Source organism: Homo sapiens, chromosome 5 (genome assembly GCF_000001405.40).
Source record: "Homo sapiens chromosome 5, GRCh38.p14 Primary Assembly".
NCBI classification, from domain to species: Eukaryota; Metazoa; Chordata; class Mammalia; order Primates; family Hominidae; genus Homo; species Homo sapiens.
Genome location: NC_000005.10, coordinates 131,547,232 through 131,568,424, shown reverse-complemented (window position 1 = coordinate 131,568,424; position 21,193 = coordinate 131,547,232). Strand labels below are relative to the sequence as shown.

Sequence of the window (21,193 nt, the reverse complement as noted above, 5' to 3'; positions counted from 1 at the left end):
CAGGAGTTTTAGGCTGCAGTGAGCTATGATCATGCCACTTCACTCCAACTCAGCAACAGAATGAGACCCTATCTCTAAAAAAAAAAAATAACAAAAATAACATTTAAAAAATCAACAAAGGAATTAAAATGGGATACTAAACAAAAATATTTGACAGAAATGATAGTAGTACAGGAAGAACAGAGGAACAAAACAGATGAGACATTTAAAAAATAGGAAAATGGAAGACATAATCCAGACAAGTTAGTAATTTCATTACATGTGCATAGTCTAAATATTCCAATCAAAAGAGATTATCAGGTTCTGTGACAATTCAAAATCCTATTATCTGCTGTATACAGGAAACACACTTTAGCTGTAAAAGCACAAATAAGTTGAAAAGGATTGAGAGATATACCAGGCAAACTATATTCATGAGAGAACTAGAGCCTGAGTCAAAATAGATTTTAAGACAAGAAATATTACTAGAGACCAGAAGCAAAATTTCGTAGTGTTAAAAGGATTAATACATTAGGAATACATAGCAATTTTTATTGTATATTTAATAGCAGAGCTTCAAAATATATGAAGTAAAAACTGACAGAATTGAAAGGATTAGTAGGAGTTCAACTATTATAGTTTGTGATTTCAAAAGTCTTTCAATAATAGAACCACTAGACTGAAAATTAGTAAAGGTATAGCTTGAAAAGTATTACCAACCACTTTGATCTGATATATAATCTTTTTTTTCAAGATTTATGGGTCATTCTCCAGGATAGGGCGTATAATCTAGTAACATAACACAAGTCTCATTACATTGAAAGGAATGAAATCATTTGAAGTTTGTCCACTGACTACAGTGCAATTCTGTTATAAATCAATATCAGAAAGAAATAGGAGAACTTAGATAACATTTGTAAATGAATAATAGACCAAGGAAGACTTCAAGAGAAATTAGAAGAAAATATTTTGAACACAGTGGAAGTGAACACACATCAAAATTTATGGGATGCAGCTAAAGCAGTACTTTCAGGGAAATTTAGATCATATTTATGAGAAAAGAATGGTTTTGATCTAGTCATCTTAAGAATGAAAAGAACAGAGTATACTCAAAAGCAAGCTCAAGGAAGGTTCAAGTGGAAATCAATGAAATAAACACAAGAAAGATAACAGAGAAACATCATTGAAACAAAAAGTTGGCTCTTTCAAAAGTTTAACAAAACTTGATAAACTTTGAGTTAGACTGACCATGAAAAAAAAGATACAAATTTCCAGAATCAGGCATAAAAGAGGGGACATTAACATCCTAAAGAAATTTTAAATATTACAAAGGATTTTTTTTTTTTTTTTGAGACAAGAGTTTTGCTCTTGTCGCCCAGGCTGGAGTGCAATGGCATGATCTTGGCTCACTGCAAACTCCACTTCCCGGGTTCAAGTGATTCTCCTGCCTCAGCCTCCTGAGTAGCTAAGATTACAGGTGCATACCACCACGCCCAGATAAATTTTGTATTTTTAGTAGAGACAGGCCAGGCTGGTCTCGAACTCCTGACCTCAGGTGATCCACCTGCCTCGGCTTCCCAAAGTGCTGGGATTATAGGTGTCAGCCACCGCGCCCGGCCTACAAAGGAAATTTATGATCAACTTGCTATCAATAAATTGGGCAAATCTTGCAAAGACATACATTACAAAAAAAGGCTCAAAAAAAAAAAAGAAAAAGAAACTTTGAGTACAGAGAGAAGTCTAGACCCAGATAACTTTACAGCTGAATGTTTTCAAACATAAGAAGCATTATTACATACATTCCAAAAGACTTTGTATTAGGGTAATGGTAGAGAAAATGCTTTCAGCTCATTTCTGTTAGTCCAGTATTACTGCTACCAATACTAGGCAAAAATCACAAGAAAAAAAATTCCAGATTATTATTCCTCATGAATATACATGCGGAAATTGTTAACAGAATAACAGAAAACAGAATCCTGGTTTATATTTAAAGTATTTTATACCATGATCAAGTTGGGATTATCCCAGGAATGGAAGGTTGGTTTGGCATTTGTAAGTCAGTTAACACAGTATACTTTATTAATAAAATAATAGGCAAAAACCACATGATCCTTTCAATAAATGCAGAAAAAGCTTCTGGGAAAAATCTAAAACTCATTCAGCATAAAGTATTTGAACAAACTAGACATACAGAAGGGAACTTTCTGATATAGGGAATGTACAAAAATTTTATTATTATATTTTAGTTTTAATTTTTAAATTTGTATCCCTGATCCTTTTTTTTTTTTCTTTCTTTATTGAGACAGAGTCTCATTCTGTCACCCAGGCTGGAGTGCAGTGGCATGCTCATGGCTCACTGCAGCCTGGACCTCCCAGGCACAAGTGATCCTCCTGCCTCAACCTTCCGAGTAACTGGGACTACAGGCATGCACCATCATGCCTGGCTGATTTTTGTGTTTTTTTGTAGAGACGAGGTTTTGCCATGTTGGACAGGCTGGTCTTGAACTCCTGAGCTCAAGCTATTTGCTAGCCTCTGCCTCCCAAAGTGCTGGGATTACAGGCGTGAGCCACTATACCTGGTTCTGATCCACTTATAATTAATTTTTGTTTATGGTGTTATATTAAGAGCTCCATCCCCCACTGCCTTTGTTTCTTCTGTATTGATATCTGGTTGTTTCCCACCATTTATAGGAAAGATTATCTTTCTCCATTGAATTCTTTTGGTACCTTTGCCAAAAATCAGTTGAACATGTATTTATGGGTCTCCTTTTGTTCTCTCTATCCTGTTTTATTGATCTATAAGTTGATCAAATACCACATTGTCTTGAGTATTCTAGCTTTAATAGTGTGCCAGAATCTGATATTATAAATATTTCAACTTTGTTCTTATTTTCCAAAGTTGTTTTAGCTATTTTAGGCTCTTTACAATTCCATGTAAATTTTAGGGTCATTATGTCAGTCCTCCAAGGTGACTTTCTGGGATTTTTATTGTGATTGTATTGAATCTGTAGAACACTTCGGAGAGAATTGCCATTTTAATCCATAAACAAGATATATCTCTTTTTAATCAGGTCTTCAATTTTTCTCAGCAATGTTTCATAGTTTTTAAATTTGTAACTTTGTAGAAGTCTTGTGTGTATTTTGATAAATGTATCATTTTTATTCTATTTTTAATGGAGTCAAAAGATTTTATTTTCTGATTGTTGCTAATATACAATAAAACAATTGATTTTTGGGTATTGCGCTTTTATTATTCAATCTTGCTAAATTAATATATTTCTGAAGCTTTTTTGTAGGATTCACTTTATATACAGTGAATTCACTTTATATAAACAGTAGTTCTAGGAACTCAAATAGTTGAGAGTTTATATTAGTGCCCCCAGCTAATAAATTCAGAAAGGATGATCAAAATATAAAATACGTATTTTAATAGCCCTAATAATGCTTTCAGTCTACGTACTGATAAAAAAAATGCTAAAACTAATAGATGGAAAATTGAGAGGAAACTTTATAAATGGTGGGTCAAGTTGACACTGTCTGAAGCTACTCACCAATTTTAACATTACTGATAAATGGAACAAACAGACCTTATGTGTCTGCATATGTGATTTGATAGAACATTGCATTAGGTCTTTTTTATATCTCTCTGTTGTGTTCGTATTTATCGTTACTTTCTTTAACATACAAAACACACATAGCAATAGCTATTATAATATTGTTGTCTGTTGATTTCTATACTTCTGATAGTTCTGGGTCTGTTTTTATTGGTTGTTTTTTTCTCTTGGTTATGGATTATATTTTCCTGTTTCTTTGCATGCCTGGTTTGTTGTTGCTTGTTTCTTTATTGATGTCATCATGAATTTTATGTCACTGGGTTCCAGCTTTTGCATCTCTTTAGGTGGTATTGGGTTTTGTTCTAACGTATAGTCTAGCTAATTGGAATCTATTTGATTATTCTGAGCTTTATCTTTTAAATGTATTTGCGCAAGTTCAGCACTTTAGTGTGGGACTAATTTATTTTGTTACTGAGGAAATACATTCCTGAGGACCCTACCTAGTACCCCATGTATTATGTCGTCTTTCCTCTGTGACTCTTTGTTCTCACATATCCACAGTACTCACTCAAAGACTCAAGAGGACCTTTCTTCAAAGCATATATGCACACAAATGCTCATGCATACTCTTGTGCACAATGTTGTTCTCTCTCTCCCCGTATCTCTTTGCTGCTCTCCCTCTTTTCAGGAACACTGCCTTGCAAATTCTAAGTATCTTTCCCCTGTCATCCACACCCCAAAACGCTTATTAGCTTTTCAACTCAGCGAAATTGTCAGGCTGTGTTACGCTTCTCTTGCCTGTAGGTGGTAAAATGGTGTATTGCAAGAGTCATCTTAGTTTTTTGTTTCCTCCCTCAGGAATTACAGCCCTGCCCTGCCTTCTTTTTGGTGTCTTGAAATTGTTGTTTTATATATTTTGTTTTGTTTTCTGTTTTTGTCCTCAGGTGGGAGAGTAAACCCAGTCCCTGTTATTCCATCTTGCATGAAAGCAAACTTTTACAGATTTGCTTTTTTAAATGTATTAGGTGATACAAGAATTTGGGGGAAACAAAAGATAAGGATCTTCTGCTTAAGAAAAAACAAGTGAGGCCTGGTGCAGTGGCTCACGCCTGTAATCCTAGCACTTTGGGAGGCCAAGGTGGGTGGATTGCTTGAGCCCAGGAGTTCAAGACCAGCATAGTGAAAATGACAAAACCCCTGTCTCTACAAAAAATTTAAAAAATTCGCCAGGCATGGTAGTGCATGCCTGTAGTCCCAGCTACTTGGGACTGATATGGGAAGATCACCTGAGCCCAGGGATGTCGAGGCTACAGTGAGCCGTGATTGCACCACTGCACTGCAGCCTGGGTGATCACAGAGTGAGATGCTGTCTCGAAGAAAAAACATAAGTGATTTTTTGGTTATGTTCAAAAGTTATTTTGTTTGGATTTTGATTAGAATTTTGTTATTAACTGTTATTTGTATAGAACCTTATACTTTGGGAAATTGACATTTTTAAATATTTAACCTTCCCATAAAAGTATAGCTATGTTACTTTAAGCTTTGTTTCTAGCCCATCAATGAAGTTGTATAATTTTCTTTATAAATGACTTATTTATTTATTAGATGTTTTTTGGTATTTTGTTTTGTTTGAATGATTAATGTTTTTTTTCCATTTGGTTATTTTGGAGTAATATTTATATGTTTTATTTACTAACTGACACTGGCACTAAATTTTCATATATGATAATACTTTTGGTTGCTTTATCATTATTTTGAGTGAGCTCTGTATATTTCATATGTAAGTCATTTGTGTCTTAGTATAGTTGACAGGGCTTTTTTTTATTCTTCATTAAAAAAAATTCAGGTTATCTTTTAAAATGGAAACCTATCTTTTTCTCTGTGGTTGCTTTCTTTTTGATATGCTGAGAAATCTTTCTGAGACCAAGAATATAAAAATACTGTCTTTTAGTACTGGTCCAGCTTTAGTTTTTTCCAAAGAGCTGTGACTCCAACACTTTCTTTTAAGAAGTCATCTTTATATCTAACTACATTTCTTTATATATAGTTGGCACTTCATATCCGTGGGTTTCACATCCATTAATTCAAGCAACTGCTGATCCTGGAAAAAAAAATGGATGGTTGCATCTCTACTAAGCATATATAGACTTGTTTTACTTGTCATTATTCCCTAAGCAATAAAGCATAACAACTATTTATGTAGCATTTCCCGTGTATTAGGTATTATTAAAAATCTCAAGTTGATTTAAAGCATATGGAAGGATGCACATAGGTTATATGCAAATGCTACATCATTTTATGTTAGGCGCTTGAGCACTGGTAGATTTTTGTATCCTTGGGGATTCTGGAACCAATCCCAGTTGGATACCAAGAGACTACTCAAGTGTGAATATTTTTTAAGTTTTTTTATTTTTAGTATCTGTTGTCTTAACACTGCTCCCAAAAGATTATAATAATTTACTTTTATTAAATTGCCTAATCAGGTTATCACTTTTATTAGATTTTTACTAAGTGTATTTTTTTCTTTGTGCAACGTATATTGACAGATGTTAGAAATTTGAGATTAGACAGTTATCTTTTATAATTAATTTTAGGGACTAGTTAAAGGCAGAAGTTTAAAAAGAATTTTCATATAGTATTGAGATCAGTTATATCTGGACAATTAAGAGAAAGGTTTTTTTTTTTCTTTCTTTTTTAGAAAATCTTAACATAAATATTGTGACAGGATCAGAATTTCTTGGATAATATCTCAGGGCTTTTTTGTTGTTTGTTTGTTTTCTTTTCCTATATTGATATATTTTATTAATAACCTTTGCTAAAGAAATTGTTTTTCTGTTTTTATAGTTTTGGTAAGCAGTTTGGAGGAAAAAGAGGATGTGATTGTCTTGTATTAGAGCCTTCAGAAATGATTGTGGTAAGAACTTTAAAGAATGCTGAATTGTTTTTGATATGCTTCAGTTTTAACTTTAAATGTAGTAGGCTTTAAACACTTAAGGAGGTTTTATTACTATGACCTTTTAGAGATTTCATCAAGTAGCATCAGAACTATCTACCAGGTTTATCTATTTCTGTCTCTTCAGACTTTTTTTGATCCTCAAGAGAGTGTGAAACATGATACACTTACATATAATTTGCAGATTTGGTATTTTTTACCCCCTTCTACCAGAAAATTAGAAGTTTTAAAAGGGGACCATGAGTTTTCAAGTGATTTTTTTTTTTTTTTTTTTTTTTGAGACAGAGTTTCATTCTTGGTGCCCAGGCTGGAGTGCAATGGTGCAGTCTTGGCTCACTGCAACCTCCGCCTCCTAGGTTTAAGCAGTTTTCCTGCCCTAGCCTCCTGAGTAGCTGGGATTACAGGCACCTGGCACCATTCCCAGCTAGTTTTTCTATTTTTTAGCAGCCATGGGGGTTTCACCATGTTGGCCAGGCTGGTCTCGAACTCCTGACCTCAGGTGATCCATCTGCCTTGGCCTCCCAAAGTGCTGAGATTACAGGCGTGGGTCACTGCGCCCAGCCTCAGGTGATTTCTTCTTTCCCATTCAATTTTACTTTTTCAATAAACTTTGAATTCTATAGTCTGTGCCCTAGACTAGAGAGAATGAAGTAGAGAAAAGTAAAAAGACATACAATTAGATCCAAGTAAGAAATGGTGTTAGTATTTTCACTTTTTAATTATTTAAGATAAGTTTTTATTTAAGAGTGTATTTAAGGAATAATTCTTTATTTTTTCTTAAAAGAGCTAAGTAGTTGATGTAACTTTAGAATTTTTTTTTTTAAGTATTAGAAGAATCAAGAACACAGCTTGCTTTTTACGTTGTTCTAAGATGACCTGACTAGAAAACAGCATATACCGAGTGGACTCATTGTCCTACTAGGATCTCATGTAGATGACCATGTCATCTGATTAGATTTGAACTGTCAAGAAGAGAAATTGAATTCTTAATGAAGCATTTTAATGTAAGGGCTCAAAACCAAACTACTTTTCCATTTCATGGTGCTATAGTCAGATTGATACCTTCAAATAGTTTGTTTTCTCTTTCTTAAACTGGATCATCTGTATAACCATGAACTCACTATCCCTAATTTTATGTGAGCAACTGGATTTTAAGCTCTTACAGGGCAAAGATTATGTCTTATTCCACTTGTGTCTCCGAGAGTATCGCAGAGTACTGCCTGCATAGTAAGTATTCAGTGAATGTTTCTTGAATTCAAGTTTTTTCAAGGATGGAGTATGTATTGTTTCAAATTTATTTTCTTTAAGCACTGAATATATGGGATTCCTATTAGAGCCTCAGAATTCTTTCTTTTTAATGTATGTATTGAGGAACATGGCAAGAAAACTGCCCAGGCAGTATTGATTTTCTGACTTTTTAGTTGTATTTTGTATTTCTCATACTATATGCAAAAGAAATACTGCTTTTACTTCAGTGTTATACATTCTGTTTTAGTGCTTGTTTTACATACTTTATGTAATATTTTCATATGAGGAGGAAGAAAAGGAGAAATCATAGGCATAGCTATAAATGACATTGTTGGTGCAATTGATGAATTCAAAATATGCACTACAGATTGGATAATATCAAATTCCCTGAGTTTGATAACCATACTGTGGTTCTGTAAGACAAAGTCCTTATTGTTAGCAGTTACATGTTGACATATTTTGGGGTCAAGAAGCATTATATCTCCAATTTATTCTTCAGTATTTCAGAAAAACAAGTATATAAAATAAAAAGTCACATCAAGTATATGTATTTATGGCTGGTAATTTTTAAATTTCAAAAATTTAAATTTATTGATGATTGGTATAATTTTAAATGCTTTATGAGTTATAGGAGAAAACAATCCAAAATAGGTGAAATTTTTCAGAATTGTTAAAAATGCCTGGTCAAATGGTTTTGTCTATTTGTACAGATTTGATTAACTCCACTGGTGATTGGAAGTGTCTGTTACTGAACACATTCTTGATCACCTGATAAGTTAGTCATCTTAATCTGACACATTGTAAAGTAATCTCCTTGTTTTAACTTTTTTTTTTCTTTTTTTTTTTTCTTTTTTTCTTAAAGAAAAGGGGCTTACCGAGAGTAGAGTGTGCGGTGGTGCGATAGCTCAGCGCAGCCTTGGACTCCTGGGCTCAAGTGAGCCTCTCTCCTCAGTCTCTCAAGTAGCTGGGACTACAGATGCACCCCACCATACCCAGCTAATTTGTTGTTGTTGTTGTTGTTGTTATTGTTTTTGTAGAGACAGCCTTGCTATGTTTCACAGGCTGATCTCGAACTCTTGACCTCAAACAATCCTCCCACCTCAACCTCCCAAGTGTTGGACTTACAGGTGTGAGCCACCATGCCTGGCCCAAAGTATACTTTTAGGCAAGAAGCATTATTTAATGTAAGAATGGTACTGTATAGTGATAAAAGGTTAATTGTATCAAGGTTACACAATCCTGAAGCTTTACATGCCTTCAAAATACATAAAACAAAAATTGTCCTTAGTAAAATCAGAACTAGACAAACCCACAATCACAGTGGGAGATTTTTATTTTTATTTTTATTTTTATTTTCATTTTGTGATGGAGTTTTGCTCTCTCGTCTAGGCTGGGGTGCAGTGGCATAATCTCAGCTCACTGCAACCTCTGTCTCCCAGACTTAAGTGATTCTCCTGCCTCAGCCTCCCAGGTAGCTGGGATTACAGGTGTGCGCCACCACGTGCAGCTAATTTTTGTATTTTTAGTAGAGACAGTGTTTTGCCATGTTGGCCAGGCTGGTTTTGAACTCCTGACCTGAGGTGATCCTCTTGCCTCGGCCTCCCAAAGCGCTGGGATTAACAGGTGTGAGCCGCTTTGCCTGGCCAGGAGATTTTAATATACCTCTAAAGTAACTGACAAAACAACCACCATGAGTCAGTAAGGATATTGAGGATTTGAACCTCATCATGTACACATTTTACCTAAGAGACATAACAGGGAACACTACACTTATCAACAACAGAGTACGCCTACTTTTCAAGTGCACATGGAATGTTTTTTAAATTTGACCACATGCTGGGACATAAAGCAAGTCTCAAAATTTCAGTATTTAAAATTTTATAGTTTCTGACCACCATGAAATTAATTTAAAAACCAATTATAAAAACACAGCTAGAAAAAAAAATACAACTTCTGAAATTCAGGCGTATGCTCTAAATCGCTTGTCAAAGAAGAATTACTTAGAAAATTAGAAAATATTTTAAATGAATAAATATGACCTATTAAAATGTGTAGAATTCAGCGTAAGCCTTTCTTGTTGTGAAATTTAAGCCCTAGTGCTATAAGAGCAAAGGCTGACAGTAAAGTATTCATGTCAGGAAATTAAAGAGCAGCATATGAATAGTAATCACAAGCCAAGAAATAGTAAAGATCAATATAAAAATAAATATCAGTGGCATAAAAGCAAACTTAGAATAATGAGGATTGACAAAGGACAAGGTTGAGTCTCAGAAAAGACTAAGAAAATTGATAAACCCGTCAAAGATAATCAAAAATAAAACATGTCATACAATCAGTATCAGGAAGGAAAAAGGATTCACTACTACGATCTAGCAAACATTTTTAAAATGCTAATAAGGGAGATGGTATGGAAAGCTTAAAGCAAGTAAGTTTGAAGTTTTAGTCAAATTCCTTGGAAAAAAAAAAAAAAAACCAAACTGGCATATACACACACAAACAGAAGATCTGCACAAGCCAATATCTAGAAAAGAAAGTGAATCTGTAATTATAAACCTTTTCATTTAGAAATTCAGACCCATGTGGCTTCACTGGTAAATTTTTCCAAACATTTAAAGAAGAAATAATACTTAGCATCTAATAGGAAATAGAAAAACTTTAACTTCTTTGCCTTATTTTATGAGCCTATTTTAATTTTTATAACAGCCTAACAAGGGCATTATACAAAAGCAGTATTATAGGTTAGTATTTTTAAATGAAAATAAATGTAAAAATCTTAACATTTTAGGTAGTCCAATTTCAGTAATACATACAGAGGATAAAACAACATGACTACATTGAATTTAGTTCCAGAATCACAAATTGATTTAGCATTTGAATGTGTGATTCACTACATTGATATAATTAAAGAAAAAAATCAGGTAATCATTTCTATGGATGCAGAAAAAGCTCTTGATAATCAGAACCCGTTCATGATTTTAAAAGCTTTTAGCAAGCTAGGAAGGGAATGAAACTTTTATAACCTAATTGTTACCTGCAGAAACCCTATAATAAACATTGAAAACTTTCTCCCAACATTTGGGAATATATGGAGAAAGCTCACCATACCAAAACTATTGGCTAGGAGATGCATTTAGGCAGGGGAAAAAAGAGATTGGAAAAAAATATAAAACTGTGATTTACAGATGACATGATTTGTATGTAGAAAACCCCAAATTACCTAAGTGTGAACTTTTGAAATTTATGTCATTTCAACAAGGTCGTTGGATACTCGTTCATACATAAAAATCAATTGTATTTTTCCTTACAAGCAAGTAGAAAATTGAATTTTATAAACGTACCATTTATAAACATCAAAACCATCTATATACATCAGATTAAATCTGAAAAAAGTTGTAGGAGACCTTTACACAGAAAACCTTAAAAAGTTGTTTTTAGATCTTTTTAAATCAGTTGAGACAATATTTTTAAGATACAAATTATCTCAAAATTTGTCTAAAATTTAGTGCAGTCCCCATCATAATCCCAGGATATTTTAAAAATGGGGATAAAGGAATTGATCTGTAACATATGTCACATAAGGGAAGAAGAATATATTTACAAAAACTGTATGAGAAGTACTTAAGCTGGGTGTTGTGACACACGTCTGCAGTCCCAATTATTCCTGTCTGTGAATAGCCACTGCACTCCAGCCTGGGCAACATAGACTCCCGTCTATAAAACCAACAAACAAAACACTTAAGATTAAACTTAACAAATGTGCAGAAATAATGTGTTTAAATACCCCTGAAATAAAAAAATTAAACTTGAACAAAAAAAGAGATACCATGTTCTTAGGTATGGAGTTACCATAGTAAGGATATTACTTTTTGTTAGTTTACCTTATGAATATAATGAAATCCCAGTGAAATATGCCATCAAGTATAGTGTTTATTTTGTGTTTTGCATTTTGTGCCATTTAAAAGAATAAAAAAAGCAAGGAGAACTAGAAGAAACCTGAGAAAGAAGAGCAATTTTAGGGGAGCCATGTAAATCTTTTTATGTACTAAAAGCAATTCAAAAGGAGAAAAAATTTACTCTTCCCCCCAAAAAACAAAATAAGTGATTTTAATATATGTAAAATTTTGGTATAATTCCATGAAGAATTATTATTTCTGGTGACTTTAAGACACAGTATTTTAACTGTACATTCCTAATGTAGTATGTCTCATTGTTGGTGTTACTAGGAGCCAGTTGTCTCATTGTTGGTGTTACTAGTGGTCTTTTCTTCTTCTTATTATTATTTTTGAGACAGAGTCTTGATCTGTTGCCCAGGCTGGAGTGCAGTGGCATGATCTCGGCTCACTGCAACCTCAGCCTCCCGAGTAGCTGAGATTACAGGCACACACCACCACTCCCAGCTAATTTTTGTATTTTTAGTAGAGATGAGTTTCACCATGTTGGTCAGGCTAGCCTCAAACTCCTGACCTCAGGTGATCCACCCACCTCGGCCTCCCGAAGTGCTGGGATTACAGGCGTGAGCCACTGAGCCCAGCCTACTAGTGGTCTTTTTACAGTTTTCCATACAGTCCTGCACTGCTGGTTATGACTGATCACATGTATGACAATGGTTCCATAAAATTATAATACTGTATTTTTACTGTACCTTTTCTGTGTTTCGATACACAGATACTTAACATTGTGTTATAATTGCCTATGGTGTTCAGTACAGTAACATGCTTTACAGGTTGGTAGCTTACGACCAATAGGCCATACTATATAGCCTAGATAAGTAGTAGGCTATACTGTCTATGTGTAAGTGCACTCTATGATGTTCACACAATGACGAAATTGCCTAACAACTAGTTTCTCAGAACGTATCCTTATCGTTAAGTGCACATGGCTGTATATGTGTGTATATAGACGCACGTTATATGTAACTAATTATAATTAATTTAACATAACACATATACATAAATCTATACATATATAAATATTAGTATCCAAGATGATGTAACCAGGATGTTAGTGGTAATGTTGATTTTGTTAATTTAAAGCAATTATATATGTATAGGTAATATTTATGTGTATATTATGAAAAATTCTGTATGATACATTTAATTGGAAATAATTGAAATTTATAATTATAGTTAATATAACTAATAGATGCATAAATAAATGTCATTAGTAATCAAGATTTTTATTTTAGCATAAGAGTTGTGTAAAATTAAAGATGTTAAGAAAAACTCCAGTCTAAAATGTCAGTAGGAAATGTCAGCATTGACACGACTATTTTTTTCTTAAAAGTATTTACCAAATTATTTCACCTTAAGAAAAAAAATGTGTTTCCTAGGGTTGTTCATTGCAAAAGTTTAGAAGCAGCGATATCCAAGTAGTTAAAGCATTCCTAGTGGTTATAGAGCTCAGATTTTGATGATAATGAGTAGGTACCATTTCCCCTCTAAAAGGATAACAAACCTTCGTTAAGTTAATGATTTATAGCAGATGTGGATACCAAGAAATTTATTAGATTGGGATTTCCTTCACTAGGAAGCAGAGAAATATTTAAAATTATTGGGCTTCTCTCAAAAATATCAGGATTCTGTGAACCTTAATACTTGGGGTCTGTTTCTTCTTTTTCTATATTTGACATGAGATTCTTTTTTACCTGGAAAGACTTTTCTATTTGTATTCATTGTGATTGCTGATAGGTTTGAATTTACTTTCACCACATTATGTGCTTTTTATTTGTTCTTGTTTTTTCCCCTCTTTTTTTTATTTTCCCTCCTTTATTTTAAGTTCTTTTTTCCTTCCTCTCCTCCCCACCATATTCTTGTAGAAATGGTGTTTGGTCTCTTCTTTTAGTGCTAATTCTGACTATTTTTAAATTCCTACTTAGGCCAGGCACAGTGGCTCCCTCCTGTAATCCCAGCACTTCGGGAGGCCAAGGCGGGTGGATCACCTGAGATCAGGAGTGCGAGACCAGCCTGGCCAACATGGTGAAACCCCGTCTCTACTGAAAATACAAAAATTAGCCAGGTGTGGTAGGCGCCTCTAATCCCAGCTACTTGGGAGGCTGAGGCTGGAGAATCACTTGAACCCGGGAGGTGGAGGTTGCAGCGAGCCAAGATTGTGCCACTGCACTCCAGCCTGGGCAACAGGGTGAGATTATGTCTCAAAAAAAGAAAACCTATTTAAAAACACCTGAGGCTAATAAGTAGCTAAACTGATAAGAATTTAATGCTAGTATCCAGATGTAATTCCTATTGTCCAGTATTTTAGCTTTATGTATTCTGTAAATCATTATTTATTCCTATTTAACCACGTATTTAATATTTTTTGCTTTTAGTTCTTTCTTATATATGAGACCGTCCTAATAGTAACACTTGTATTATGTTTAAAGTACACCCATTAAAAATTCTTTCCTGAAGATCTTCTGTTAAGTCTCTCAGGTATTTTTTCTTTTTTGTCTGAAAATAACTTTATTTTTCTTCATTCTTGGAGGATTGTTTTGCCATTAATACAACTTTAGGAGGAGAATTATTTTTATTAACACAATTAATACATTCTATTTTTTTACATTCATCGTATTTTGAGGAGTCAGACATTAATTGCCTTCCTGATCTCTTTTTTCTTTCTGGCTGCATTAAAAGTCTTCTGTTTATATTTTCTCTGTAATTTGGTATCGTAGTTTTTCATTATCCTCTTTTGGATTTTTTGGACTGCTTTGGGCATCAAAAATTCTTTTTTTCCTTAAATATTGTCTTGTTCTATCATCTTCTTGACATTTTTTTTTTCAACCTTTCCTCTTAGCTTTCTTATTTTTTACCTCTTCATGATGACTTTGTGCTGTATGTTGAGTAAGTCTTCTGGATTTATCTTCCCAGTTTACTAACTCCCTTTTTAGTTGCATCTTAATATACCATTCAGTTCCTTCATTTTTCTTATTTAACTCTTTTCCTCTTTCTCTTTGGTAATTTTATTGTCCTATGTTTAATTTCCTTGATCTTAACTCAGTTGTGTTGAGTCTGCCAATGAGCATGTCAGAGACATTCCTCATCTCTATTACTACGTCTTTTGTTTCTAACATTTTCATTTTTATTTTATATTTTTATTTTGTCTGCTAAAATTATCAATCTGTGTGTGTTGTCTATACCTTTTCCAGTGAACCTATAACATGTTTAATCATAGTTGATTGAAGTTCTCTCTCTGGTAGTTCCAGCATCTGGATCCACTCTAATTCTTGTAGACTGCTCTGTTGATTGCTTTGTCTCTTGGTTTTTGTTTTTTGTTTTGTTTTACCTTTCCTTTTTTATGTGAGTTATAATTTTGGATTTAATGTTGGGCATTAGGTTATAGGGCTATAGCTTTTAAGCCTAGAGATGAACACATTTCTACTGGAGTTGAGCTAGGTTTGGATTCTCTTGCTGTTATGGTGCACCAGTGGTTTCAAATTTGTTTAGTGTTACTTTGTCCTTGAGTTTGCTGGAAGATTATTCTCAGTGTTCCTGCTCCACTCAGTTTTAGGCCTTCTCTGTGCTCTTGTGCTTCAGCAGGGTCTCTTCATGTTCTCATCTCTCCTCCAAATGTAGATTGCTATTGGTTGTTCCTCACTGTTTGCTAGCCTGGCAGTTGGGAGGAGGGCACTTAGGGCTTTCTTGTCCTGGTCAAGCTTCAACTGCTTGGTTACTGTTTATCATCTCTGGCTCATTTTCAAATTTTCTTTTGTTTGAAAGTTTTTAAATTTTGACTTTCTATTCTCTAATACTTTCAGTATATTGGAGTATTTGCAGGTGTCATTCCACTTTTTTAGGGGCTCATTTTTAATTATGTCTTGCTTCTTACATGATGTTGATGTAGTTGGGATTTTTTTATATTTGTCTATGAGTTCATATGTCTTGGAACTTTAGGTACAGTAATACTTTGAGGTTTATGTTAAAGTTGCATTTTTGTTGGCCTGGTGTGGTGGCTCACGCCTGTAATGTGAGCACTTTGAGAGGCTGAGGCAGGTGGATCACCTGAGATCAGGAGTTCGAGATCAGCCTGGCCAACATGGTGAAACCCCATCTCTACTAAAAATACCAAAAGTAGCCAGGCGTGGTGGTGCATGCCTGTAATCCCAGCTACTTGGGAGGCTGAGGCAGGAGAATCACTTGAACCTGGGAGGTGAAGGTTGCAGTGGGCCAAGATTGCGCCATTGCACTCCAGCCTGGGTGACACAAGAAAAACGCCATCTCAAAAAAAAAAAAAAAAGTTGCATTTTTGTAAGGAAGTTTTGCATTTGTTATTTCTGCTATTGTTTATTAATAGTGCTGAATCTCTTTTAGTTTACTTGCATGCTTGAGGTATTGTGAATTCAAACTACAGATCTGGATGAAGGATGCCTTGTGGTTTTGAATTCTCAGGGGAAGGCAATTTTTGTTCAGTTGCTCCCCCTCCTCTTATCCCAGTGCCAGGCAAGTTTTCTTCCTGTCCCCTTCTGCTTGTATCTTGCTTACCCTTGTAATGAGGGTGTAGCTGTTTGGGATGAGCTTTATGAGTAGGTTTCTATTAGATTCCTCAACTTTGGTAGAGTCTCTTGTTTCATCTCTTGTCTATTTCACTCCCTACAAACATCAGAGTGAAAAATCTTTTCTTCAGAGTTTGACAGAAACTGTCTGGTAGATCAAGGACTTTATTGGTTTCCCAAGTTCAAGTATTCTTGCTTTCACATCATTCTTGGCATTTGGATTCTGTACCTTTTGTGCCATTTCAGTTGTGTTTGTGGTTTTATTTTTTTTAAATCTTACATTGTTTTTAATGCAGGCTTTAATGTTTTAAATACCACAATTCAGTTATATTCAGTGGGAACTTTGTTAAGGGCATTTAACTCTTTATATTCCTGGAATAAAAATCATGATTAGATTTTTCTTTGCATTTGGTACTTTTCCCAAGATTTTGAAACTTAGAAAGCCTTTTCTTAAATTTATTTTACTTCCATTTTTACTCTGTAAAGCCTTTATTGTTTAAATCTCTGCATTGCTCAATAAGTGGTAGATAGTAAAAGACCTAAGAATCATGTAATATTGGACTTTTGTCTAAAGTAGATAATCTCTTTTATCTTTTGGGATAGAGCAATATGAAGTTGGACTTTTTAGTCACACTTGGGTTTTGAGTCCTGATTCACCTACTTGTGTGAATTAACTTTTTTTTTTTTTTTTTTTGAGATGGAGTCTCACTCTGTCGCCCAGACTAGAGTGCAGTGACACGATCTCTGCTCACTGCAACCTCTGCCGCCCGGTTTGAAGTAGTTCTTCTGCCTCAGCCTCCCGAGTAGCTGGGATTACAGCGCCTGCCACCGCGCCTGGCTAATTTTTGTAGTTTTTAGTAGAGATGGGGTTTCGCCATCTTGGCCAGGCTGGTCTTGAACTCCTGACCTCATGATTCACCCGCCTCAGCCTCCCAAAGTGCTGGGATTACAGGCGTGAGCCACCCTGCCCAGCCTGTGAATTAACTTTTATGAGACACTGTACCATCTATTACAATAGGAAAAGTAGCTATGTAATAGGGTTATTGTGAACCTTAAATGAGATAAGCTGCAGTTTCTGGTATATGGCCTTGTGTATACCTTTTGAGGACTTTATACATAATTCCAAGGACCTAATATATTTGAGGCAAAAGGGAAAATTTAATTAAACACCTATTTTGGCAAATGTCTTGAATATTAGGTGAACAAAGATGAATATAATATTACATAATACGGTTCCTGCCTTAGAGAACTTGTTATCTTATTAGTGAGGTTGGTATACTTAGTGCTATAGAAGGAGTAATACTTTTCTGGAGTAGAGGAGGGATTGGTTGAACTAGGTCATAAGATGTAAGTAGGAGGCCAATATGCTGGCAAAGAGGGAATGGGCTTTTAGCCAGAAGTGACAGCTGCATATGTAAAGGTCTGAAGGCAGTAGAGAACATGTCCCATTTTTGAGAAGTCTAGGTGTGTATACACAATAAGCCAATCGAGGTCTGAGGAGAGGAATGTCTTTGGTAATTATGGAAGAGATGGCCTTTGAGATAGGTAGTGTCTAAATGATAGCATGTGAAGACAGAATGGGTATGATAACACAAATTGAAGAAATAAGTTACTTGGCAGATTATAAGTTATTTATACATAGGGGCACATGAATAGTCACATTGAGTTGGCTGCTACTTATTCTTGAATTCACACCTGAACAAAGCAGATTAGACATCAACTCTTAGAAATCATTAGGAAATTTTGTGTATCTAATTAGAATTTTTGTGGGAAAGCAAATAAGGGAGCAGCTTTTCCAGGATTGTACATGTAAGATAAGGTGATAAAAGTATTTTGGGGATGGAGTTTATAATGGCTTTGAATATCAAATGTAAGAGTTTAAAATTTATTTGGTGTAAACATTAGAGGTCCGTTGTGGCATTTTGAACAGGAAACCTGAGTAATGGTGATTATCTAGGTGATTTGTTTGACCCTGCAGGATAGAATTGGAGAGGAACATGCCTAAAGCAGCAGGATCACCTATTGCTGTGGTTTGGGACTGAGGTGATTAAGACTTAAATTAAGGGGAGGTGGTAATGGGAATGAAAGAGCATTATGGGAGAGATTTATAGAGAACTGACAATCTGAGAGAGAATTGAACCAAAGATTTGGAAGACAAGCAGGGGTGCTGAGAATGTTGATATGATACAGTAGTCTCCCACACCCCCATATCTGCAGTTTCGCTTTCCACATTTTTAGGACTGTCGTACTGTGGAAAGAGAGAGGAGCTAAATGATGAGAACACATGGACACATAGAGGGGAACAACACACACTGGGGCATTTTGGTGGAGGGTGGGAGGAGGGAGAGGATCAGGAAAATTAACTAATAGGCACTAGGCTTAATACCTGAGTGCTAAAATAATCTGTATAACAAATCCCATGACACAAGTTTACCTGCGTAATAAACCTGTGCTTGTACTGCTGAACTTAAAATAAAAGTTAAAAAAAAGAGAGAGACCATATTCACATAACTTTTTTTTTTTTAAGAGACAGGGTCTTGCCGTGTTGCCCAGGCTGGACGTTAACTCCTGGGCTCAAGTGATACTCTCGCCCCAGCATCCCTGGTAGCAGGGACTACAGGCACTCGCCACTGCGCCCCCTCACCCCCACATAACTTTTATTGCAGTATATTATTATATTTTATTATTAATCTCTTCTGTGCCTAATTTATAAATTGAACTTTATCATAGGTATGTAAATACAGAAAAATACATGACATATATAGAATTTGGTACTGTCTGCAGTTTCAGGCATCTAGTGGGGATCATGGAATGTATCCCCCTCAGATAAGGGGGCACCACTGTGTTTGGGTGGGTGCCTAGGAAATTTTTGGTAATATCAAGAACTCTGACATTAGCAGAAAGAGTAGTTATGGGGGAAAACTAAAACCACCATTTATTATTTATTAGATGTGAGCTTAGTTATAAAGGTAGATTTTTAGAGCATATCAATATACCTTTATAAAAATAGTTAATTTAAAAAATTATGGTTTGTTCTGTGATTGGACAGGCAGTGCAGTCTTGTATCAGTGGCATAAGCTGTTGAGCTAGATAGGTCTATATTCCTCCTCACCTTAAAAAAAATTTTTTTTTTAATTTTTTGAGACAGGGTTTTTGTCCTGTCGCCCAGGCTGGAGTGCAGTTGTGCAGTCATAGCTAACAGCAGCTTTGAACTCCTGGGCTCAGTTGATCCTCCCACCTCAGCCTCCTAAGTAGCTGGTACTACAGGTGCACACCACCATGCCTGGCTTATTTTTTTCCCCCTGTAGAAATGGGGTCTTGCTCTGTTGCCAGGTTGCCAACTCACCTTTAATAAGTATCACTGTTGTGAGACTGGAATGTCACTAATATCTTTGGGTTTTTCTTTGTCTACAAAGTAGAGACAGTAATACCTGCTTACAGGGCTGTTGTGTGAACTAACTACTTAATATATATGCATGCTGGCCTATTTTAAACTCCTAACAAATGTTAATTTTCCATTTTATTTTCTTACTTAGAAGATGCCAGCCTTACTTGTGGCTGTTGTCATGCATTAAGTTGAAAATTAAAGAATATTGCATAAAGTTTTCTTGTTTTACTTTTTAACAATTAACTAAAACCATAACCAGGATTGTTTGCTAAGTAAAATATGTGTATAATCAGGCAGTTTGTAATTAGAGGAACTCAAGTTGTAATTATTGAATGTGTAGGTGTAGTTAACAGCCTTCATTTCTGGTAAGTGACTTTACTTAGAGGATGTATGTTTATGTGCACAAGAGAGACTGTTTCCTGGACGGAAACTGTGGTCTCCAGATCTTTATAATAACATCACCTCTAATCTTTAACTCATGAGCGTTGTGCTATACAGACTGTTTTCTTGAGGCAGTTTCTTGTAAGAAGTAAATGAAGCTTCCTTATGAGTCTGTTAAGACTCCATAGATTGTCAATAATATGGAAAAATTTGATATTTCATCAGGAATATGAACATGTGTTTCAGGTAGAGAATGCCAAAGATAATGAAGATAGTATTCTACAAAGAGAAATTCCTGCCAGACAATCCCGAAGAAGATTTCGGAAAATTAACTATAAAGGAGAGCGCCAAACCATTACTGATGATGTGGAGGTTAACAGCTATCTTTCTGTGAGTATATTTAGGAACACTTCATGAATCTTCCTTAATTTTCATATCTAGTATCTTTAATTTACATGTATCTTTGGTAATATCAACATGCTGGGCTCTGTATGTGAAAATTTGGGGCAGGTAAATATATAATCTTTTTAAATGCTTCTGTTTGGTTGAATTGGTTAGGAATGCTCTTACCAGTGGGAGTTCTGGTTTTGCTTTTTTGTTGTTGTTTAAATAGTGAAAAAAGTTATTAGGCTGGGTGCAGTGGGTCATGCCTGTAATATCAGCACTTTGGGAGACCTAGGCGGGCGGATCACAAGGTCAGGAGTTCAAGACCAGCCTGGCCAATATGGTGAAACCCCCATCTCTACTAAAAATACAAAAATTAGCCAGGTGTGGTAGTGCATGCCTGTAGTCACAGTTATTTGGGAGACTGAGGCAGGAGAATTGCTTGAACCCAGGAGGCAGAGGTTGTAGTGAGCCAGTATCACACCACTGCATTCCAGCCTGGTCGACAAGAGCAAAACTCTGTTGCCAAAAAAAAAAAAAAAAAGTAAGCTGTGTCTTCAAAAGTCTTTAATTGTGAATAGCTTCTTTTTAGACTGAAAAGTAGCTGAATCAAGAAATAAGGGTAATCTAAAAAAATCAGGTGTATTTTTGAGGGGAGAGGTTTCATAGTTACCAGTTTCCAAAGTACTCACGATTTCTAGAATATTAAAACAATTAGTACAGAGCATTTCCTCTTGTTTGCATTTGTTAAAAATAATAATAAAAAGGATGGTTGAATATAGTGAAATTCCCAAGGATGTGTTTAGTTTTTTCAGTTGTCA

At 35.1% G+C, this 21,193-nt stretch overlaps 1 protein-coding gene across 6 annotated transcripts in view; it reads left to right on the top strand.

The window, feature by feature from the left end:
• Positions 1 to 21,193, top strand: part of RAPGEF6 (Rap guanine nucleotide exchange factor 6) — a 211,309-nt gene that overhangs the window by 66,805 nt on the left and 123,311 nt on the right. For all 6 annotated transcript variants that reach the window (NM_016340.6, NM_001164388.2, NM_001164386.2 and 3 more), the window contains exons 5-6: positions 6,378 to 6,447; positions 20,235 to 20,378. In NM_016340.6, the coding sequence (NP_057424.3) occupies positions 6,378 to 6,447; positions 20,235 to 20,378 (214 nt within the window). The remainder of the gene's footprint in view (positions 1 to 6,377; positions 6,448 to 20,234; positions 20,379 to 21,193) is intronic.